General features: G+C 42.0%; 1 protein-coding gene across 43 annotated transcripts in view; it reads left to right on the forward strand.

Annotated features, from left to right (window-relative positions):
- Positions 1-19,940, forward strand: part of FHOD3 (formin homology 2 domain containing 3) — a 482,508-nt gene that overhangs the window by 108,496 nt on the left and 354,072 nt on the right. The window contains exon 1 of one of the 43 annotated variants that reach the window (XM_024451268.2): positions 4,134-5,806. The exons of 41 other annotated variants lie outside the window; for them this stretch is intronic. The gene's annotated coding sequence lies outside the window, so the exon portion shown is untranslated. Of the gene's footprint in view, positions 1-4,133; positions 5,807-19,940 lie in introns of those variants that run through there. One more of the 43 variants, XM_047437862.1, reaches the window with a different exon arrangement.

Raw genomic sequence — 19,940 nt, forward strand, 5'->3', positions numbered from 1 at the left:
TCACCTGTCACACTGATATGGCATTGAATAGGCATTGCTGCTACAAATACAGCTGCTGAAATGTGGCCTGCCACAAAGATACTGATTTGAGCTGAGTCAGACAGCTCACAAATATACTGGTCCTCTTGCCTTGTTTTATTACTCTTACGTTTTTGAGAGCTAGATTTTATACCTTGTAAGAGTTTTCCTCTCAGCGTTTATGGGCCTCAAAACAGCCTTGGCATGTGCGGGAATGAGGATGGCGCATTTGGGTCCGGACCTTCTGGCATAGGATTAGGAGTGGTTGGGGGTGGGGAGAGAGGGATGCAAATGCCTTTTACAGGTGACATTTAAACGGGGTGTGTTTGGGTTAGCAAACTCTTTTTGAAAATCTGCCCCCCGCCCTGAGCCTATCAGTCATATTCACTTTAGAATGAATGAATTTGATCTGAGATGAGCTGCCCTTGGGGACTGGGAGCTCTTATATTTGGAAGGTTATTGCGGAATTTTGGAATTATTGATAGTGCATATTCTGGCGGGCAGCTTGAGTCAGAACAGTCTATAAACCACTTTCATGGACTGGTAAAGAGAAGAGGCTGTTGGCAGGAGCCCATATTAGTGGCAGGCCCCACTAGGGTACTCTCTGTGTGTGATCAGACCATGTGTGTGTTCTCACCTGGCTTACCACGTCACCCATCTGTCCACCTGCTTACCTACGCATCCGCCCTCCAGTAAACGTTGACCAGGTGCACCTGCTTCTGTGCCTGCTGTGGGATGAAGTCATGCCTGAGACCAGTGCTGTGCACAGAGAAGGGCTTCAGGGTCCATTAGTATACAGTGTAATCGCATCATGTGTCTGGACCAACTGATCAGTGGTAAAGATATGCCTGCTGTCCTCTGCTTTCCCTGTCAGTCTTTGCTCACCTCTCAGTTTCCTCCTCCAAGGACTACTCTAGTTCCCCTTTCCCCACCACATAGGAATGTGGTCCAGAGTCACATGTGAAGCTTTTTAAACAGACAAATGTAGAGCTGGCTTGAGAGGGCTTTATAAGGCCACAGAGCTTTTTTGGGTGATTCCAACCTGCAGCCATATTAAAAAGTAGTACTTTACAAATTCTCTTTTTGCTCCAGTCTCTACCAATTCATTGATCCTCCCTCATATACATTTCCCCACCAACATGCTCCCTGCTGTCTGCCGGTGCTTGTGAGCACTAATGATGGTGGTAACAGCCCTGCTGCTTTGGTTGCACATCTGCCAGGGACTCTGCACCTTGTTATGACCCTCACACTCACGATTTCAGTTTAACCCAAGTCTAACAGGCTTGCAAAATAGGTGTCATCACTCCATTTTATAGATAAGAAAACTGAGGTTCAAAAAGGTTCCCAGATATCAAAGACTTGAGCGTAAGCGATGGAGTAAGAATTTGAATTGAAGTTTGTCTGACTCCGAAGACACATTTTCCTATATGTTAGGCTGCTTCTCTAAACTCTACTGTGAGCTTCTGCAGACACCCTACACGAATCCATCCAATGTAGAGTAGGATACAGAGTGTGCATTCCTGAGCTGCCTGGGTTTGAATCCTGGTTCTGTCAGTCAGTGGTTGGGACTTTGAATATCCTACTTAACTTCTGTGCCTCAGTGTCCTCATCTGAAAAATAGTGATACTTATAATAATACTTGTAGGGTTGTGGTGAACTGAGTGAGAGCTAGTAGATGATCAATGATTGTTACATAGTTTTCAAGCTGCACAATCCTTTCTCATATGATATAGGGAGTACAGATGTAAGGTAGATAGATGATATTGGAACTGTTTGACTGAGGCTCAGGAGCGTGTGGCCTTGGCTGCTCAACTTCCTGTGGGCGGAGACCCCTGTGCCCCTGAGACCGCCTTCCAGAGCCCTTGGGGCTACACTGGATGACAGCTTCTCCAGGTGCCACATTAGCATGAATCCTCTGTCCTGTCCATTCACCAGTCTTTCAAACTAATAACAGAATTTACTTGTTAATTATTAAGGTCAGCTGTGGAGGAAAGAAAAGGCTGAAGTGTATGCAAGAATGTGGTGATATTAATGTGGAATCTTCACAATGGTCTTGATCATAAAGAGGGGTGTCCATCAACCTGGTGAGACACAGTCTCAGTTAGTGGGGTGTGTAGGGCAGGTCCTGCATTGGTGGGCAGATCTGCATGCCCCACGGGGAGGAGTGTTTGAGAAGCTAAGGGGTTAATGCCCTGAGGTGGCAGTGGTGTGGGCCAGGCTAATGGGTGTTATAGGGCAGCTGAAGGAGGTGTGAAGGGCATGGGGGGGTACAGGGGAAGGGCTGTCTCATGGCACTGAGTGGGAAGATGCCTTCTAGAGACTTCTTGGCAAACAGAGGTAGCTCCATCACCGAGGAATGAAGCTGAAGACCAATGTAGTGAGTTGGCTCATACCCAGGACATAGTGCCAGTGGTTACTTGGAGCAGGGGTTGGACAGCCAGTGATGGGCACAAGCACAGCCAAGGAGTTGGCAGGAAGGAGCCAGGGGTAGAAGCATTGGGATCTGGCCAGGGCTAAAGAGTATTCCCATCAAGGGAAGCGCAAGGATGTCTAGCGCCCAGGAGCCAAGCCTGGAGCATGTGGTGGATCACCTCCCAGGAGCAGATGGGCCGCATGACTCTACCATGAATGGGTTGATTTATGGCTGTGTGAATAAGTGTGTGAGCAATGACTGAGGCAAGTGGTCACAATGGCGATAGGTTGACCAGGTCATGGAATCACTCATTATTATTGCGAGGAGGGGCTCACTCCCCCTGCTGGGGAGCTGGGTCTGAGAGCATCAGTGACTCCACAGGTAAAAGGCAGGACAAAGACTTGAACTGGGGCCTTTGGACTCTGGACCAGTGCTTCTCACCGGGCTGAGTCTTGCGGCCCGGCAAATTCCTTCCCTTTCCAGGAGGAGACCACCAGAACCACCATCCTCTGCTAACCATGGGAAACCTTCTTGGGGGGGTAATTCTCCTTGAGCAGGGTGAAGGGGCATGCACATCTCCTTCAGCACCTGCCTTGTAAGAATTAAGCTGCTGGTCTGAAGCATGCAGGCGTGATATCCATGTAGAGAAAAGAAACAGCTCTTCTAAGACTGATAGCACAGTCTAGGAGTTCGAGGCAGCGGAAGCTCTTCATCCATGCTGTTGGCTGTCATGTCTGATCACCCTTCCTCACCTTCCTCACCTGGCTAGCTCGTTGCTGTCTTGCACTATTCAACTCAGTGCTCCTTCCCCCAGCAAACCTTTATTTCATCTCCCTGGTCTGGGAGCCCAGGGTTTGTGTTCCCAGGAACCTTCCCGTGTTATTGTTGATTCATTTCCCCCTCTACTGGGCTCAGAGCCCATTGACTTTTTCTCTCATGTCTGTGTTCTCAGTGCCAGGCATTATGCCCATTTCAGGGCCTGGTATACAGTAGGTACTCAATAAATGTTTAGTGAATGAATAAAGAAGACATAGTTTGCAGTGAGTCTTTAGGGCTGACCGTCAGATACAGACTTTGGTATGTGGAAAAGCTAGAGCTTTGGCCCCAGAGCTCTGGGGGTGTGGCCTGGGTGGTTGCTCTGGCAGCACAGTGGCAGCTTGGGGAAGAAGCACTGCCCTGAAGGTGGCTTTGGGGTGGCTTATTCCACTCTTAACCGTCCCTTCTGCCCCTCTGTTGACCTAATATGTTGCTGTTGGAGAAAACAGGGCAATAATGCCCATGAGAGGAGATGATCAGAAGACAGGGCGTTGCCCGGGTGTCCCATGCCTGTCATGATGCTGTGAACCTCCCGGAAGTAGAAGGGCTTTACAAGCTGTAATTCACATACTATACAATTCACTCACCTAAAGTGTCTGATTCAGTGGTATTTAATATTGTCACAGAGTTATGCAACCATCACTACAATTTTAGGACATTTTCATCATCCTCAAAAAAAACACCACACCTATTCACAGTCACACCTAATTTCCCCCCTGCCGTCTCCAATCCCTGGTAACCATGAATCCACTTTCTGTCTCTGTGGATTTGCCTATTCTAGATATTTCATTTTAAATAAAATCATATATAGCCTTTTGTGTCTGGCTTCGTTCACTTAGCATAACTTCTCAAGGTTCATCCATGTTGTAGTATTCATTGGTACTCCATTCCTTTTTGTGGCTAATATTCCATTGTATGGATACACTACATGTTGTTTGTCTATTCACCAGCAGATAGACATTTGAGTTGTTTCTATTATGAATAATGCTGGTATGAACATTTATGTACAAGTTTTTGTGTCAACATGTGTTTTTACATTGCCTAGGCATGTACCTAGAATGGGATGGTTAGATCAGTTAGTAACTCGACATTTAGCGTTTTAAGGAACTGCCACATGATTTTCCAAAGCAGCTGCCCCATTCACATTCCCACTGGTAATGTATGAGATTTCCAGTTTTTCCACATTCTTACCAATGTGGTAAGAATTTGTTTTTGTCTGTCTCGTTGATTATAGCTGTTTTTAGTGAGTTTGAAATTACATCTCAGCATGATTTTGATTTGCATTTCCCATGTGGCTAATGACATTGAGCATCTTCTCATGTGCCTATTGGGCATTTGTATATCACCTTTGGAGAAATGTTCTTCAAATCCTTGGCCACTTAAAAAATAGGGTTATTTGGCTTTTTTTTAATTGTTAAATTTTGTAGGAGTTCTTTATATATTCTGGATACAAGTCCCTTATCAGATATACGCTTTGCAAATATTTTCTCCCATTCTGTGGGTTGCCTTTTTGTGTTCTTGATGATGTTCTTTTAAACAGAAAGTTTTTAATTTTGATGCAATCTAATTTACCCAGTTTTTTCTTCTTTTTGCTTGTAATTTTAGTTTTATATCTAAGAAATAATTGCCTAATCCAAGGCCATGAAGATTTACTTCAATTTTTCTCTAAGACTTTTATCATTTTAGCTCTTACATTTAGGTCTCTGATCCATTTTGTATTTAGTGTGAGGTAGGGGTCCAATTTAATTTTTTTTGCATATGGATACCCAGTTGTTGTAGCACCATTTGTTGAAAAGACCATCCTCATATATTTTTGATGTTAATAAATACATTTTAAATTTCACTTTTAAAACTTTTAAGTGCTTTTGTAAATTTCTTTGGGATCCGTTGTGAAGAAAATTATCAAAATAATGTAATTCCTCAAAGGGTATCATTTGTTACTATGTGATCCTGAATGAGGAATCAATTGATTTCTTATCTGTCTATATTTGAAACTAACATTCATAAAAGGATATTTAACCATTGAATTCTGGCTCTTAAGACAATAAAATCTGGCCTCTAAACACCTTTTTGTTCCTATTTTTTAGTGGCTGCATTTCATCTTATTTTACTTCATTTATTTTTTATGTTAATTGCCTTATTTGCTTTTTATTTTTGTCAGTATAATATAGAGTAACCACATTTACAATGTTTGCAGTACAAAATAGAGCAACTGATCCTGTGGGTTTATCTCCACCACCTGGCCTGAGTGGCCCAGGAGAATGCTGTAGTTATTAATTTTCAAAAAGGGTGAAGAACCAAGATTCTGATTCCTATTTTTAAAATGAAAGCCCCCTAACTTATTCCAGTGCCTTGGCACTCTCCTGCCTCTAGTCCTAAAACAAGGCCACCATGTGGCCATTTGGGAGATTGACCTGCCCACTGGCTTTTTCTCTTTGGGTAGCTGCTGCTCCAAGCAATGGCGCCTCCCTTGGCCTTTCTTCTCTCACCTACAACCAGATGCTCCTAAAATAGACTCTTCCTGGTGGCCCATCTGCAGAGCAACAAACCACTGGAGTGGTGAGTAGGATTTGAGCCCTTTGTGTAAAGTGTGTGTAAAGTGCTTGCCTAATTATAACCAGAACTGTTTCCCACAATCCCCCATCCCACGCAGGCAGGAAGGGGCGGGGCTGGAGGGCAGTTAATATTGCTCAGGGTCATTGCTTTAGGGGATGGGTTGCAGGGGATTGAAAAGCTGCTCAAACTCACTGCTCTTTCTTTAGCAAGAACAAATGTGATGAGGGGATCCGTATGAATGCAAGTCCCTTCTGTATATATGTTCACATCTGCACTTGGAGAACAATTTGAGAAAAAGCTCCTTACCAAGATAATTAAAACTACTTTAGTTCCAGTATTTTAAATTAAACTAAAATTTATAGAAATATAGCTTACTCTAAGGGGAAAAAGTGATACCAATTTTAAAACACAAATAAAAATGTTGCTGCAATGCATATAATTTAAAATCAGGGTGATTGACAAGTGACAAGGACTAAAATCAGATTTATTCTTGAACAGCTGGGAAAGCTATCCATGTGTCTTGGAAAGATATTATGCGATTTTCCCCATGTAAAAGTAAAAATGATTCTGGAGAAGAGTTGCCCAGATGAACCTCTTCTTCCCTTAAAGAGAGACTTAAGGTAAAGAGAATTTGCTCTTAAAGCCATTTTATAAAAGTCATAATACTTTTTGCTACAATCATTTCAGGCTTTTTTTGTTTTAATTAAAGGATGTTTGCTGTTAAATAAAATTAAGGTTAAAAATGTTAGGTATAGAAGTCTAATGTTGAAAATTGTACAAAAAGCCGATATATAATGAAGAATGAATGATAACAAGAATTTTCTCATCTTCCTAGCAGCATGTTGCAGTGGGTTTCTGGGGCAAGGAGTGGTGGGGATGGAAGCTCACAGAGGTCATATTGTTGCTTTGGAACTGGTGTCCTAGACACCTACCTGGAGCCTTCACAGGGCCACTGCCCACTGGTGGGCACATGGTGAAACTTCATTCAACAAAAAGACACAACTGAAGATCTGGCAATGGGCAGGGCCAGAGCAGAGAACTGCACCTTTCCCAGAAACACAGTTGTGTCATTTAGGCACCCTGGTTTTCAGCAAAAGGCATCAGAAATTTGTCAGAAAGGTGGACTGTTCCTTATATTTTCCAACATAAGACCAATGTTGTTGTCAGGTTGTGTTTGGAAAAAGAACCCTTAAGAAAAGATGCCTTGGTGATGGGTGGACAGCGATGTCACAACTCCTCAGGGGAACAAGCTCATTTTCCGGGTGCGCAGCTCAGCCTTGCCTGTGTTCAGCTCCATCTCCAGAACATATACATGGACACCCCCATGAGTCTGTGGCCCCTCCCAGAGGTTTAATATTTCCTCTAGTAAAAAAGTTGAAAGCATGGCACACTGGATTTGGGACCTAGGAACATGGCAGTGGGTTCTTTTTTGGGCTGTGAGCTGAGGTCAGGCCTGCTGAAGGGAGGAAGATGCCCATGCTGCTCAGCAGGCCTGGCATGACCATGTCTGCTTTCCTTGTGGATTGCAAGTTGCTTTTGGAGTTAAGATTAACTGTCCCACACCAGATCTCTATTTATCAAGCACAGCTGCACCCCTCATGTTAGGCAGCCTGGATTTATGTGCTTCATTCATGGCAATGCTAAGGGACACTTAGAGTTACCAAAAGACCTATGTTCCCCTTATTCTCCAGAATTCACAATGCCCTACATATAACTTAAACATTTTCTTAGTGTAGTAAAATATACATAACAGAAGAATTCCATTTTAACCATTTTAAGTGTACATTTCAGTGTCATTACTTACATTCACCATTTTGTGCAACCATCACCAAAAAGTGTCTTCAAAACTTTTTCATCTTCCCTAACAGAAACTGTAACTATTAAGCATTAACTTCCCATTCTACCCTCACCTACAGCCCATGTAACCTCTAATCTACCTTATGTCTCTATGGATTTGCCTATATAATTTTTAAATTTTATTTTTTAAAATTATTTTAAGTTGGGCTTATAGAAGCAAGGTTTACAGAAGAGTTTCAGAGTTTCAAAAGAGGACTTGAGGTTTTATAGTTTTTCAGCTGAGCACATTTAACTCAGCAGGTCCACCTTATTTGGCACACTAGGCAGTTGCTAGCAGAGATGAACAAGATGGAAAGAAAGATGACTGAATTCTTGAGGACCCGTCATGTATCAAGCACAGGAGTAGCTGCATGGATGCGCCGTGACTTTAGCTGCTCCTCATGACAGCCTAAGTGAGCAAGTTATTTCTGTTTTAGGATGAAGAAAGCAAAGCTCATTCACATAAAAGTCCTATTAAAAGTTGAGATTGAAAACCAAATCCTACTGACCTCAGATGTCCATCTCTTCCTATTACTTACTGCTTCGTCCAGAGTGCATAAAGGACACGTAAGGGTGGAGTGTGCATTTCCATCCATTATTACATTTAGCCGAGTGAGTTCCAGAGCCAAAGGTGGCAGCAATACCAAGGAGAGCTGCTGCCCATCATGCCACAGAAGCTCCTGTCTTACCTGAAGGCTCCAGCCACCCAGCCACTTGTCCACCCGCATCAACTCATCCCATCATTCATTGGTGCCAGTTATATGCTGGACCTTGGGGGATGATCCCGTGGCCCCTGGTGGCTGTGATGCCTGTGATGATGATGGCAACAGTGGCGGCAGTAGAAGCCACCATCCCCACTGTTTATTGACCACATTCTGTGGGCTGAGCCTGGGTAGGACGTTTCAGGAGTTTTAACCCTCACAGCCTGCCAGACAGGTGGCAGGGGGTTTCTGGGGGCACAGGGAATGGAAACTCACAAAGGTCAGATTGAAGCTGTCAAGAGATCACTTGGCTTGTGGCAGCAGGAGGGGCTCCTGCAGGGCTGTCTGACTTCTAGCTTACCCTCTGTGGTGGGTGGGCAGAGCCCCTTTTCTCTAGGCCATTTTCTTGGGCAAGACATGGACACCTCAGTAGCCAAGGGACCTGGCTAGCAGGAGGGGGCAGTGAGTTTGGGAACTGGGGAGCAAGGACCACAGCGGGGGATTTTTGGGCACCTCCATTTCTGAGTCCCCTCACCAGGAGGGCCTCACAGTGTTTCAGGGAAAGTGTGAGGCCTCTGTCGAGTGCCCATTTTTCATGGACAGTGCAGGCTGAGGTGGGGCAAGACCCTGATGACTAGGGCCATAAGAGAATAAAGGTGAGTCCACTGCCAGAATTCTGTGGTTAGTGCTAATTCACTTTTCACAAAGGAGAGGCCCATCCTGAATGTTTGTTCAATCATATTTCACATATATATCTGTCAGGTTTATGATCTCATTTTGTTCTTCACAACAAATCAGCAAAATTGACTTAGGAGGGAGCAGTGAGGCTGAGATAGGGTGTAGGGTGAGAATTGATTAGGCTGTCAGAGAGCAAGAGAAAGGGGAGAAAAAGTGGTTCTGAAGAAGAAAATGTGACTTCTTAAAACCTTGTCAGCACGCAAGGATTTATTCATACATCATTAAAATTTAAATTACATGATTTGGTCTGTCACTGAGGACAAATGGTTCCTTTTCAGCTGCATTTTGTTTGAACTGTTTTATTCAGGCAACTTAATTGGTTGATTATTTTAAAATTTGCCAGGCTGCAGTAATCTATATTTAGCAGAAACCCAAGTCATACGGTAAGTCATTTCCAGTAGGATTAAAATTATCAGCATGTTTCTCAAATCTTAAAAGAAATGCCAAACTCTGGACTATGTTCAGTTTTGCATTCTTAATTTCAGGCAGACATTTTCATTCCATTGGCATGTGATTCTTTTTCCAAGACTACATAATAAGGGTGGCATTTTTCCTTTCCATGCCGCAGCAGCCCTGCAAGACAGAGAGAAAGAAATTTGGTCTTTGATTGATGAAGTTTGGTGACCTAACCAGATGACTGTCTTTCTCTTCCAGACTGCTTAACTCTCAAATCAACTGGAAACAAATTTGTTTTTCAGACATATTTCAAGCACATTGAATAGCTGAATATCATATACATAGGTGTCATTTTTTATTTATTTTTTTGAGATGGAGTTTCACTCTGTTGCTAGGCTGGAGTGCAGTGGCATGATCTCGGCTCACTGCAACCTCTGCCTCCCGGGTTCAAGCAATTCTCCTGCCTCAGCCTTGCGAGTAGCTGGGACTATAGGCGTGCACCATCACGCCCAGCTAATTTTTTTGTATTTTTATTAGAGACAGGGTTCCACCATGTTAGCCAGGATAGTCTCGATCTCTTGACCTCGTGATCCGCCTGCCTCGGCCTTCCAAAGTGCTGGGATTACAGGCGTGAGCCACCATGCCCACCCAGGTGTCATTTCTTAACCATCTATGATTACACTGAAATATGAACAGGTGGCTTGAACGTTATTTAGGAAGTGTGATGAGTCCGTAAGGTCTGTCATGTGGGCATCTCGATTCACATCCTGGAGCTGTGGCCTGTGCCTCAGACACAGTTGCCTGAATGAGCCATGATCTGCTCATTAGCACACCCTCCACAGCCATTGGGTCAATAGCACTTACTTTGTTCAGTTTCTACTCTCTGCTTATTAAGGATATGTAATTTTGATTTGTGAGGTTGTGCCCATGAGTCCTTTCTCCATTCCAGTTGCTGTCAGCTTAACCTGGGGCTCTTGGCACCTCTGTGTTGGACTTTTGCATCGCTCTCCCTGTGGATTCTCTCCCAGCTCTCCCTTCCTCCATATGCTTTGCAGGGTGATCTTTCTGAAATGCAGATCTGATTGGGATACTTTGTCGCTTAAAACCTTTGAAAGCCAGCCCCTGCTCCCTTGCCTTCAAGCCACCTCTGTGTCCTTAGAAGAGTGTACAAGCGCTTCCTCCTGCCAGCCCAGTCTCCTTTTTCCAAGCAGTTCAAAGCCAGAGGCATCTATTTCTTCAATTCTACTTCATTCCCACCCACCACTCCCACCCTGGCTCTTGGGTGAGAAGTACTGAAGGAAATCAGAACATATAGATATATATACACATACACACACGTACATACACATGCACAGTTTTTTATATATACACATATTTGTAATTTTTTAAATTTAACTTTTAAGTTCAGGGAGTACGTGTGCAGGTTTGTTATATAGGTAAACTTATGTCATAGGGATTTGTTGTACAGATTATTTCATCACCCAGGTATTAAGCCTAGTATCCATTAGTTATTTTTCTTGATCCTCTCCCTCCTCCCATCATCCATCCTCTGATAGGCCCCAGTGTCTATTGTTCCCCTCTATGTGTCCATGTGTTCTCATCATTTAGCTCCTACTTATTAGTAGGAACAGGTGGTATTTGGTTTTCTGTTCCTGCATTAGTTTGCTGAGGATAATGACTTCCAGCTCCTTCCATGTCCCTGCAAAGGACATGATCTCGTTCTTTATTATGGCTGCATGGTATTCCATGGTGTACATATACCACTTTTTCTTTATCCAGTCTATCATTCATGGGCATTTAGGTTGATTCCATGTCTTTGCTATTGTGAATAGTGCTGCAATGAACGTGTGCATGTGTCTTTATAATAGAATGACTTATATTCCTTTGGGTATATACCCAGTAATGGGATTGCTGGGTTGAATGGTAGGAAATCAGAATATATATATGTGGCTTTATTTCATGAGATCATATACCTTAGAAGCCTCTTTCTATAATCACACACTTTGTTGTTGATATTGCTCTTCCATATATTTCTGTGCTAGTGAGGGATTGTTAAAAAAGGACGATAGCAAATATGAAGCCTTTAGCCAACTTCCCCTCCCCAGATATTTGAAAAACAATTAAGCCACTCAGTAAATGAACTGCCTTAGAGAAGATTATAATGTTGGCCTTAATTTCTTTTACCAACTTTCCATTTCCTTGAAATGCAGCTAATCAACTTATATTAACTGTCCTGGAAAATTTTTTGGTTTACAGAGCTTTTTGTTTTTAAATTGTTACCACTAATTTAAGAAATTTAGACTGAAAATGTTACTTTTAATAAAAAGGAAATGTCTTAGACATATTAATGCATATAATTTTTCATATCACGAGGTGCAATCATAGTGTTTGGTTTTTGCGGCAAAAATGACACTTGTCAGTTCTCACTTTGATTTGCTGACACTCTTGCCCCTTCAGGGTGGGTTGCCATTTGGAATTTGGAAATGCTGTGGCTTCAATCCATTTAGACAAACATATCCATTTCTGATTAGATTCAGAGTGGTTGTGGTGATCTGAGTATAGATGTCCATAACAGCTTCACATTTTCATGTACTCTGAAAAGGAATTTTTTAGAGGTTATTATTTAGAATGTCTAATTCCAAGTGAAGATTTAGGGGTGGAAAGTTTGAATACAATGCTTTATTCTCTCATTGAAATTTTGTAGGAAGCTCATGGGTTGCTTTTGCAAAAGCAATTTGAAGATATTCCACGTTAGTTTGAAAGCTTTGTATTTAAGAATTAGATTGTTTAAGGTTTGGGAGTACTTCTGTGAAATTGAGGTCATGGGAGTTTAGGTTTATGATGATGAAAGTGTGTGTGGAAGGCACATGGCAAAACGTTGACTTTTGCTACTCAGTTTTTCTTATAGGTCACAGGTTGAATTCTTTTTATCAAAATCTGCATGTTCTTGCCAGTTGTGGTGGCTCACACCTACAACCCCAGCACTTTGGGAGGCTGAGAGGCAGGAGCATCTCTTGAGCCCAGGTGTTTGAGACCACCGTGGGCAATATGGTGAAACCTGTCTCTAATAAAAATACAAAAAATTAGCTGGGCATTGTGGTGTGTGCCTGTAGCTCTAACTACTTAGGAGGCTGAGGTGGGAGGATTCTTGAGCCCGGGAGGCAGAGGTTGCAATGAGCCGAGATCGCGCCATTGCACTCCAGCCTGGGCGACAAAGTGAGACCCTGTCTAAAAATAAAATTAATAAAATAAATCTGCATGTTCTTTCTATAAATAGGAATTTTATTTTCATAAATAAGACTAAAATAGTGGTCTGGGGGGAATTAACACAGTGGGAGGGGAAGAGTAAAAAACGTGTATGGTTCTAAAAAGAACTTACAAGGTTAAAATCATGGTCTATTACTTTTATAGTAGGTCTGGCTATAAAGATGTTAAATTTTTACCAAGTATCAAATTCAAGGAAAATGTTGTGAAATAACATTGGATGCATTCAAAGGAATTTTAAAATAATTATAATTTGCCGTCTTCTCCTTGGTCAGAGGGTACTTTGGAATCTTACTTTGAGCTGTGCAGGCAAAAGGAATTATTCCACTTTTCTCTATTTGGCTTTGCTCTGTTGTTGACTATTCCTCTTGAGTTCAAGTGGAGGCCTCCTGGACAGCTGGTGGCCAGGGCAGCTGTAGTGACCCAACTCTAGTGTGCCCCTCCCAAGGATGGAGCTCCCAGTTTAGCTGTTGGGTTTGTACATAAAATGCCACAGCACAGCAGTCTGAGCTCTTGCTTTCTGTTTAAATAAAAAGGCAGATGCTTCACACATGTTTTCATGAATTTATATAAACCATGGAAGGAAAGAATGCTGATATTCAATAGGAACCCTGTAGCAACTTGTTACTTGTAATTTTTAGGTTTACTGTAAGAGCAAATGCAGAAAGCAAACCTGCATCTGTGCTGACACTGGGTTGGGACTAACCCATGCTCTTTTAAGTGCCTAAGTAGTGGGTGAATGGGGCATCTATAAATAGTGAGTTAGTGTGTCTGACAGACCTCAGAGACTGGAGGGATTCCTTGGGCCAGCATTGTCTCATGTGGCCACATGTGGCCAGGGAGGAACACAGCTGAAGGGAAGGAAGTGCGCTCTCTTTTATCCTTCTTTCCATATCAAGAAGAGTAGATCCTTGAGTCAGGGAGCTAGCCTGCTGAGGAGCGCTAGCTCTGGAGCATGGTCTACTGGGCAGACCTAAAGTAGGACTGAGAAAAGCTTTGCCACTTCCTTGAGGAAGATACTGTATTGGCTTCCATGACTTCCGGAGGCATCTGATGCCTCCCAACCGGCTACCCTGCTAAGTTACACTTGATTAACTTTTCTGTCTCCTCTTGGACTCAGTGTTTTATGAAGCTGAGCTTCTCTTGGAATGCGGAGCCTGGAAAGGGAGGAAGTGTGCCCTGGGCATTCCTTACAGTTGTACTGGATTCATACTGATCCGTCCACACTCTCTCGGGCCTCTGTGACAGCGCCAGGCACATGTCACTGTTGAATTAATTGATGGTGTACACTTGTTAGCAGATGAGCTACAGTTGAGGGTATAGTCTGTGGCCATCAGATACAGTCAGATGTCATGTGGGCCAAAACTTACAACCTTGGAGTCATAAACCAGCTGTGAACACCCAGGAAATGAATCATTCCATCTGAGCCAATCTGCAGTCTCCTCTCTCACTTGCCACCTGACACTGTAGCACCCCTTCTGGTGTGATTGAAGAACTTCTAAGTGCCAGCCTGCCCACACCTGGTGATGCACCAGTGTCTGTGTGCTGCCTCGGGAGGTGACTGTGAGATATGAGGATCTTATATAAGCTAGTAGTTTTGCATATGGCTAGCCCTTGTTGGCTCGGGACAGCTGGTTTAACAACCAGCCCTTAGATGACACTGGGTAGAAATTTGATGTTAAGTATTTCTCACTCCCTTATTATAGGATTTTTTAAGAGCAGTGTTTGCCTAAAGTCAGAACCATCTTCTAGGAGAGGGGTCAGGTGGTACTGCTAGTTTTTGGCCAGTTTCTTTTAGCTTATCTGTGATTCACTTAGATGGTTGATACATTCCTTGCCCATTCTGGTGGCTTTCTGACCATGGGGGACTGTCTGGTGGCAGTGCAGGATAATAAGTAGGAAGGCTTATGATCTGAGGAGTGTAAATAGTAAATGGAGACATCTCTTGTTAGTTTTTCATTTCAGCTGTTGACTCCTCAGTAGTGCTGGATTTTTTATGTTTATCACTGTCTCTTTCACCCCCACCCTCTCTTACCCAGAAGACAAATGGTGAGGTTAAATTTGGCCATGACTCAGCCAAAGTCTGGTGGTGGCCATCAGGAAAGAGTGTCAGAGGTCTTAGAATTGGCACTCGGGTGCTTGAACTGTTTTTAGTTTTCACTAAAGTTGAAACTATTCTGGTTGAACTTATTCTGGTAATAAGCTGAAAACAATGTGCTCCTGGGCATGTTTCAAAAACTAAAACATTTTTTAAAATGGAAATATGGATTAGGGTAGCTTGCCACAATGATAGTCACGTGTAGGGAAATACACACAAATTGAACTAAGTCTAACTTTTATGCTTAGATAACAAAAAGATACTTTTGAATTTACCAAATATTCATTCAAGCAGTCACCAATGAGGCATCTGGATAGCTTCTTTTGTAAGACTGTCCTTATTCTTATAAAGTTAGTTGGCTCTGAAAACTTTACTTCAGTTGATCCAAGAGTTTGAGTTGATATTTCAAGGATGTTAAACTTTGCAGCCTAAAACAAAACTGAGATTGCATATGATTGGTTTTTATGGCTTCCATTTTAGAATGAAAAAGACGATAGTGATTGGCTTAACTTTTTTTCTCTCTTTAGAAAACATTTCATAGCGGTAAAGGTGACATATACTGTTGAAAATGTATAAAGGTAGCTCTGGGTCCAGGGGTGTTGCTGGCAGATTTTTTGAAATAATTCTCCAGAATCAGCAGTCAACAAGAAAAGAACAGTGACTTGCAACCTGGAAATCCAGCTGGGACTGCCATGAATGTTTGTGGTAGTTTGGGATCACATGCCGGTTCTAGGGGACAGCAGGTCCATGCTGGTTCCTGGGTGGCAGCCCCTGTGTGGATAGGCAGTCTATAGTGTGGGGGAGTGGGTACCTGAAGAAAGAGACCTGTAAAGGAGTCAGCATAGCACCCCAAAGCCCTCTCTCCTGGACTGGGAGACAGTCATAACTTTTGGAGTGGCAATGATGTTTCAACAATGTATACAAACCTTATTCTAATTTTAAAAAGCTATTTAATTAAACTCCATATTTAATTTTTTTGAAAAGGTGGCACATTCACATGGTTGCAACTTTGAGAAGTACACAGTGATTTATAGTAAAATATCTCATGTTGTTATTCCCTCTCACCTTCGACTTTGCTCTCTGCTTCCTTCCCTCAAACTTCCCACTTGGCCGCCACATGTAATCCTTGTTATTAATTCCCACATGTTTTTGTGGATGAAGACAAATATATGTAATTTACTCCCTTTTAAAAATAAAGGTAACATACCATATATACTTTTTTTTCATTTACTATTTCTTGGGGCTCTTCCTATACTAGTAAATAAAGAGCTTCCTATTTCTTAACAGCTGAATAATATTCAGTTCCATGTATATAGGAATCCTATGTAACCTATCCCCTGTTGAAGGATAGTTAGTCTGCTGTCTATTCTTGGCCATGGTAAACAATGCTGCAGTGAATAACGTTGCATATATGACATTTTGCACATGTATAAGTTTACCTGGAGGATAAATTCCTGGAGGTGGGATTGCTGGGTCAAATGGTCTGTGTACTTGCAATTTTGATAGATGATATCAAATTGCCTTCCATAGGGCTTGTTCTAATTCCCTTTCCCACCAGCAATTTGCAGCCGATCAATGTGAATGTGGTCTGAGGTCCACCTCACTCTGCAGGCTGACCTAAGGGGCTGCTTTTCTCCAGTGCCCCAGCAGTAGCCCTGGCTGAGAAAGCCTTTTTGAGAAACAAAGGATTTGATTTATTTTTGAAAACGTTAATTAGCGTCCTTAAGTAAACATTTGATAAATTAAATCTGATTAATTTAAGCATTGACTGAAGCCATTTTTATCAAACCTGTAGGAAGGGTGTATCAGGAAGATGAGCAATCAGCTGAAAATTTTAGTATTTTTGAAACTGAGCAGAAAAGTGTTAACATTTTACCATGTCACCATTTTAATGTGAGAAAGGAAACCTCCCAGCAAGAGGTTGAGAAATGACAGACCAGAGTGCTCCTGTTGTCTCCTTCCTAGGTCATTCCCCTTCGTGGCTTCAGTTTCTCTGCCATTCCTGGAGCTCTGCTTCCTGGAGGTACACATGTCCCCCTCACCCTTGATTCCTCCCCGGCCCTCGATTCACACCCCCCCCAAACTTCATGTTCAAATCCTCATTCTGCTATGCTATGCTATTCTGCTATGAATTCAAAATTTTTAAGTAATGAAAACTTCGATAAGAGCAATATACACTTACGATTTTTAAAAAGCTATAATTTTTATGATTTAATGCCATGATTACAATTTTAGGATCTCATTGGAGATCAGATTGGGTTTGACTAGAAAATGAGCAGGTGTGGAAAAGGAGGTTGGAAATGGTCTGAACTGAATTTGGGTGAAGATCTCAAAGTACATAGAACAGCTGATGTCATCTCAGCATATTGTTTCACCACAAAAGCAAGGTCATCTAACAACATTTTGTCATGGTGAATCTGATGAGAATTCCTAAGTACACTCTGAGAATAGAAAGAAGGTGGATGCTGCGGAGGGGGTCTGCATTGGAAAACCTCTGCTGCCATTTCAATGCATCGAGCCACCTTGCCTTATTATAGTGAACAATAGTAGAAGTACCTGGAGGCTCCATAGAGGGGCTGTGTGCAGTGAGCATAGTGTCGAAGCACCATGTGTCAACAGTACACACTTCTGAAGGTGGAAGAAGAATGACATGAGAACAAGAAAGAGAAATGATTGCAGGCTCTTACATAAATGCAACTGATACGTGGGTTTTTTACTAACAGTGGCATAGAATGAATACAGTGGTATAGAATAACATATTTAAAAATAAAACAAGAATCCCTATTCTGTTTCCTTATCCTGCTGCTGTTTTTCACGGCAATCATCACCTTATACACTCAGTTCTGTATAACACTTGTTTGTAAAACCCGTATTTGTTTCAACATGATTGACATATTAGGGGACAATTTGAGCATAACGTGGATTTCACATTTGCTGGTATAATTTTGTTTGCAGAAGCTCTAGGTGAATGCAGAAAACTGCCTTCAGCTGAACCAAGCCACACAGCAATACACAAAACACACACCTACACACACCTAAAGCATCTCCCACCTACCTCAGTTCATGTCTCATTTTTTGAGCCACACCCATCCACATGTGGAGTTCCAATATTCTCATTCCTGATGATCCTCTATCCATCCCACAATTACAAGCCTTTCCGATGCCCACTTCCACAAGCACACTTTGGTTTCTTCACAGTACAGTGCCACATTTTTTGTAGTATTTATGTATTTCTAAGCCACTTAGTGTGTATAAAACTGTGCTGTGCTTTTATTAGGCTCCTCTCTTTTTTCCCCGTATGCCTTCTGGTGTTATTGTGAGATTTTTTTTTTAGCAACGTGTATGTTGTATTATAACAGAACTGCCTGACTGTGATTGACTTGGGTTTATTGTTCATGTTTATTGTCTTGTCCCCTCTCCTCCTCCTTCCCTGGTAGAATGTCAGTACGTGAGGGCAGAGCCTTTTGATGGGTCACTCACTGTGGTGTCCTCAGCACCTAGAATGGTGTCTGGTGCAAAGAAAGGCTCAATAAACATTTGTTGAATGAATGAATCTCAGATCATTTACTGGAAATAGCACTCTAACTATATTCTGTTGTAAATTAATGTTCTATAATAAAGAATTACAGCAGTCTACCCTTGTTTACAATTTGGCTTTCAGTTACCTGTGGTCAACTACAGTCCAAAAATATTAAACGGACAATTCCAGACATAAACAATTCATAAGTTTTCAATTGTCTATTGTTCTGAGTAGCATGATGAAATCTCTTGCCCTTGTCCCTAAGCTGAAATCATCCCTTTGTTCAGCGTTTCTGTGCAGCATACACTACCTGGCCATTAGTCACCCAGTGGCCATCTCAGTTATCACATCGGAGCCATTGTGGTACAGCAGTGCTTGTGTTCATGTAACTCTTATCTGACTTCATAATGGCCCCAAAGCACAAGACTAGTAATGCTGGCAATTCAGATAAGCCAAAGAGAAGCCATAAAGTGCGTCCCCTAGGGAAAAGGTGAAAATTCTTGACTTAATAAGGAAAGAAAAAAATTATATGCTGAGGTTGCTAAGATGTACAGTACATAAGATATTTTGAGAGAGAGACTGCATTCACATAACCGTTATTACAGTATATTGTTACAATTGTTGTCTTTTATTAGTTATTGTTGCTAATCTCTTATTGTGCCCGACTTATAAATTAAACTTTATCATAAGTATGCATGTATACAAAAAATATAGTATACATAGTATCCAAGGATTCAGGCATCTACTGGAGGTCTTGGAATACATTCCCATGGATAAAGAGGGACCGCTATATTATAGTTAAGGGACGTAGAATGGCTAACGTAGCTTATCAATGAAGGGGAGGGATGGAAATGTGGAATGTAGGTCACCCAGCTTTTTAAAATTTGTATTTAAGAAAAGCTTTATGTTCTAACAACCTTTAATTCAAAGCCAATTAAAAGTAAGAACAATCAGAATAATAGCAAAAGTGGCCAGATCCATGAATATAAGGTTATGTTCATTTAGTAAAGATAGTGGGGAAAAAAAGAGACCCCAACAGTGGCGCTTGACTCCAAAATAATTTAATATAGGAAAAATTAAAAAGTGTATAAACATGATGCTTTGATCTGGGTTTGTTTTAATGAAAATTCTTGTTATTGAATTGTTGCTTTAGCACCAGTCATGCATATTTAATATATGTATATGGTTAATGCTCAGTAAATGAGGGCATGTGTTGAGTGTGTACCTATAATTGGTAGTTGGAATAATAGATATATATGTGTACATAGACACATACTTATATGCATGTGACTTTGTGCTGCAACTCTGGGAAGCACTTCACACACTATTTCTTTCTTTCTTTTTTTTTTTTTTCGAGACGAAATCTTGCTCTGTAGCCCAGGCTGGAGTGCAGTGGCGCGATCTTGGCTCACTGCAAGCTCTGCCTCCCGGGTTCATGCCATTCCTCTGCCTCAGCCTCCCTCCCCAGCAGCTGGGACTACAGGCGGCCACCACCATGCCCGGCTAATTTTTTGTATTTTTAGTGGAGACGGGGTTTCACCATGTTAGCCAGAATGATCTTGATCTCCTGACCTTGTGATCCGC

This window comes from Homo sapiens, chromosome 18, assembly GCF_000001405.40.
Source record: "Homo sapiens chromosome 18, GRCh38.p14 Primary Assembly".
NCBI lineage: Eukaryota > Metazoa > Chordata > Mammalia > Primates > Hominidae > Homo > Homo sapiens.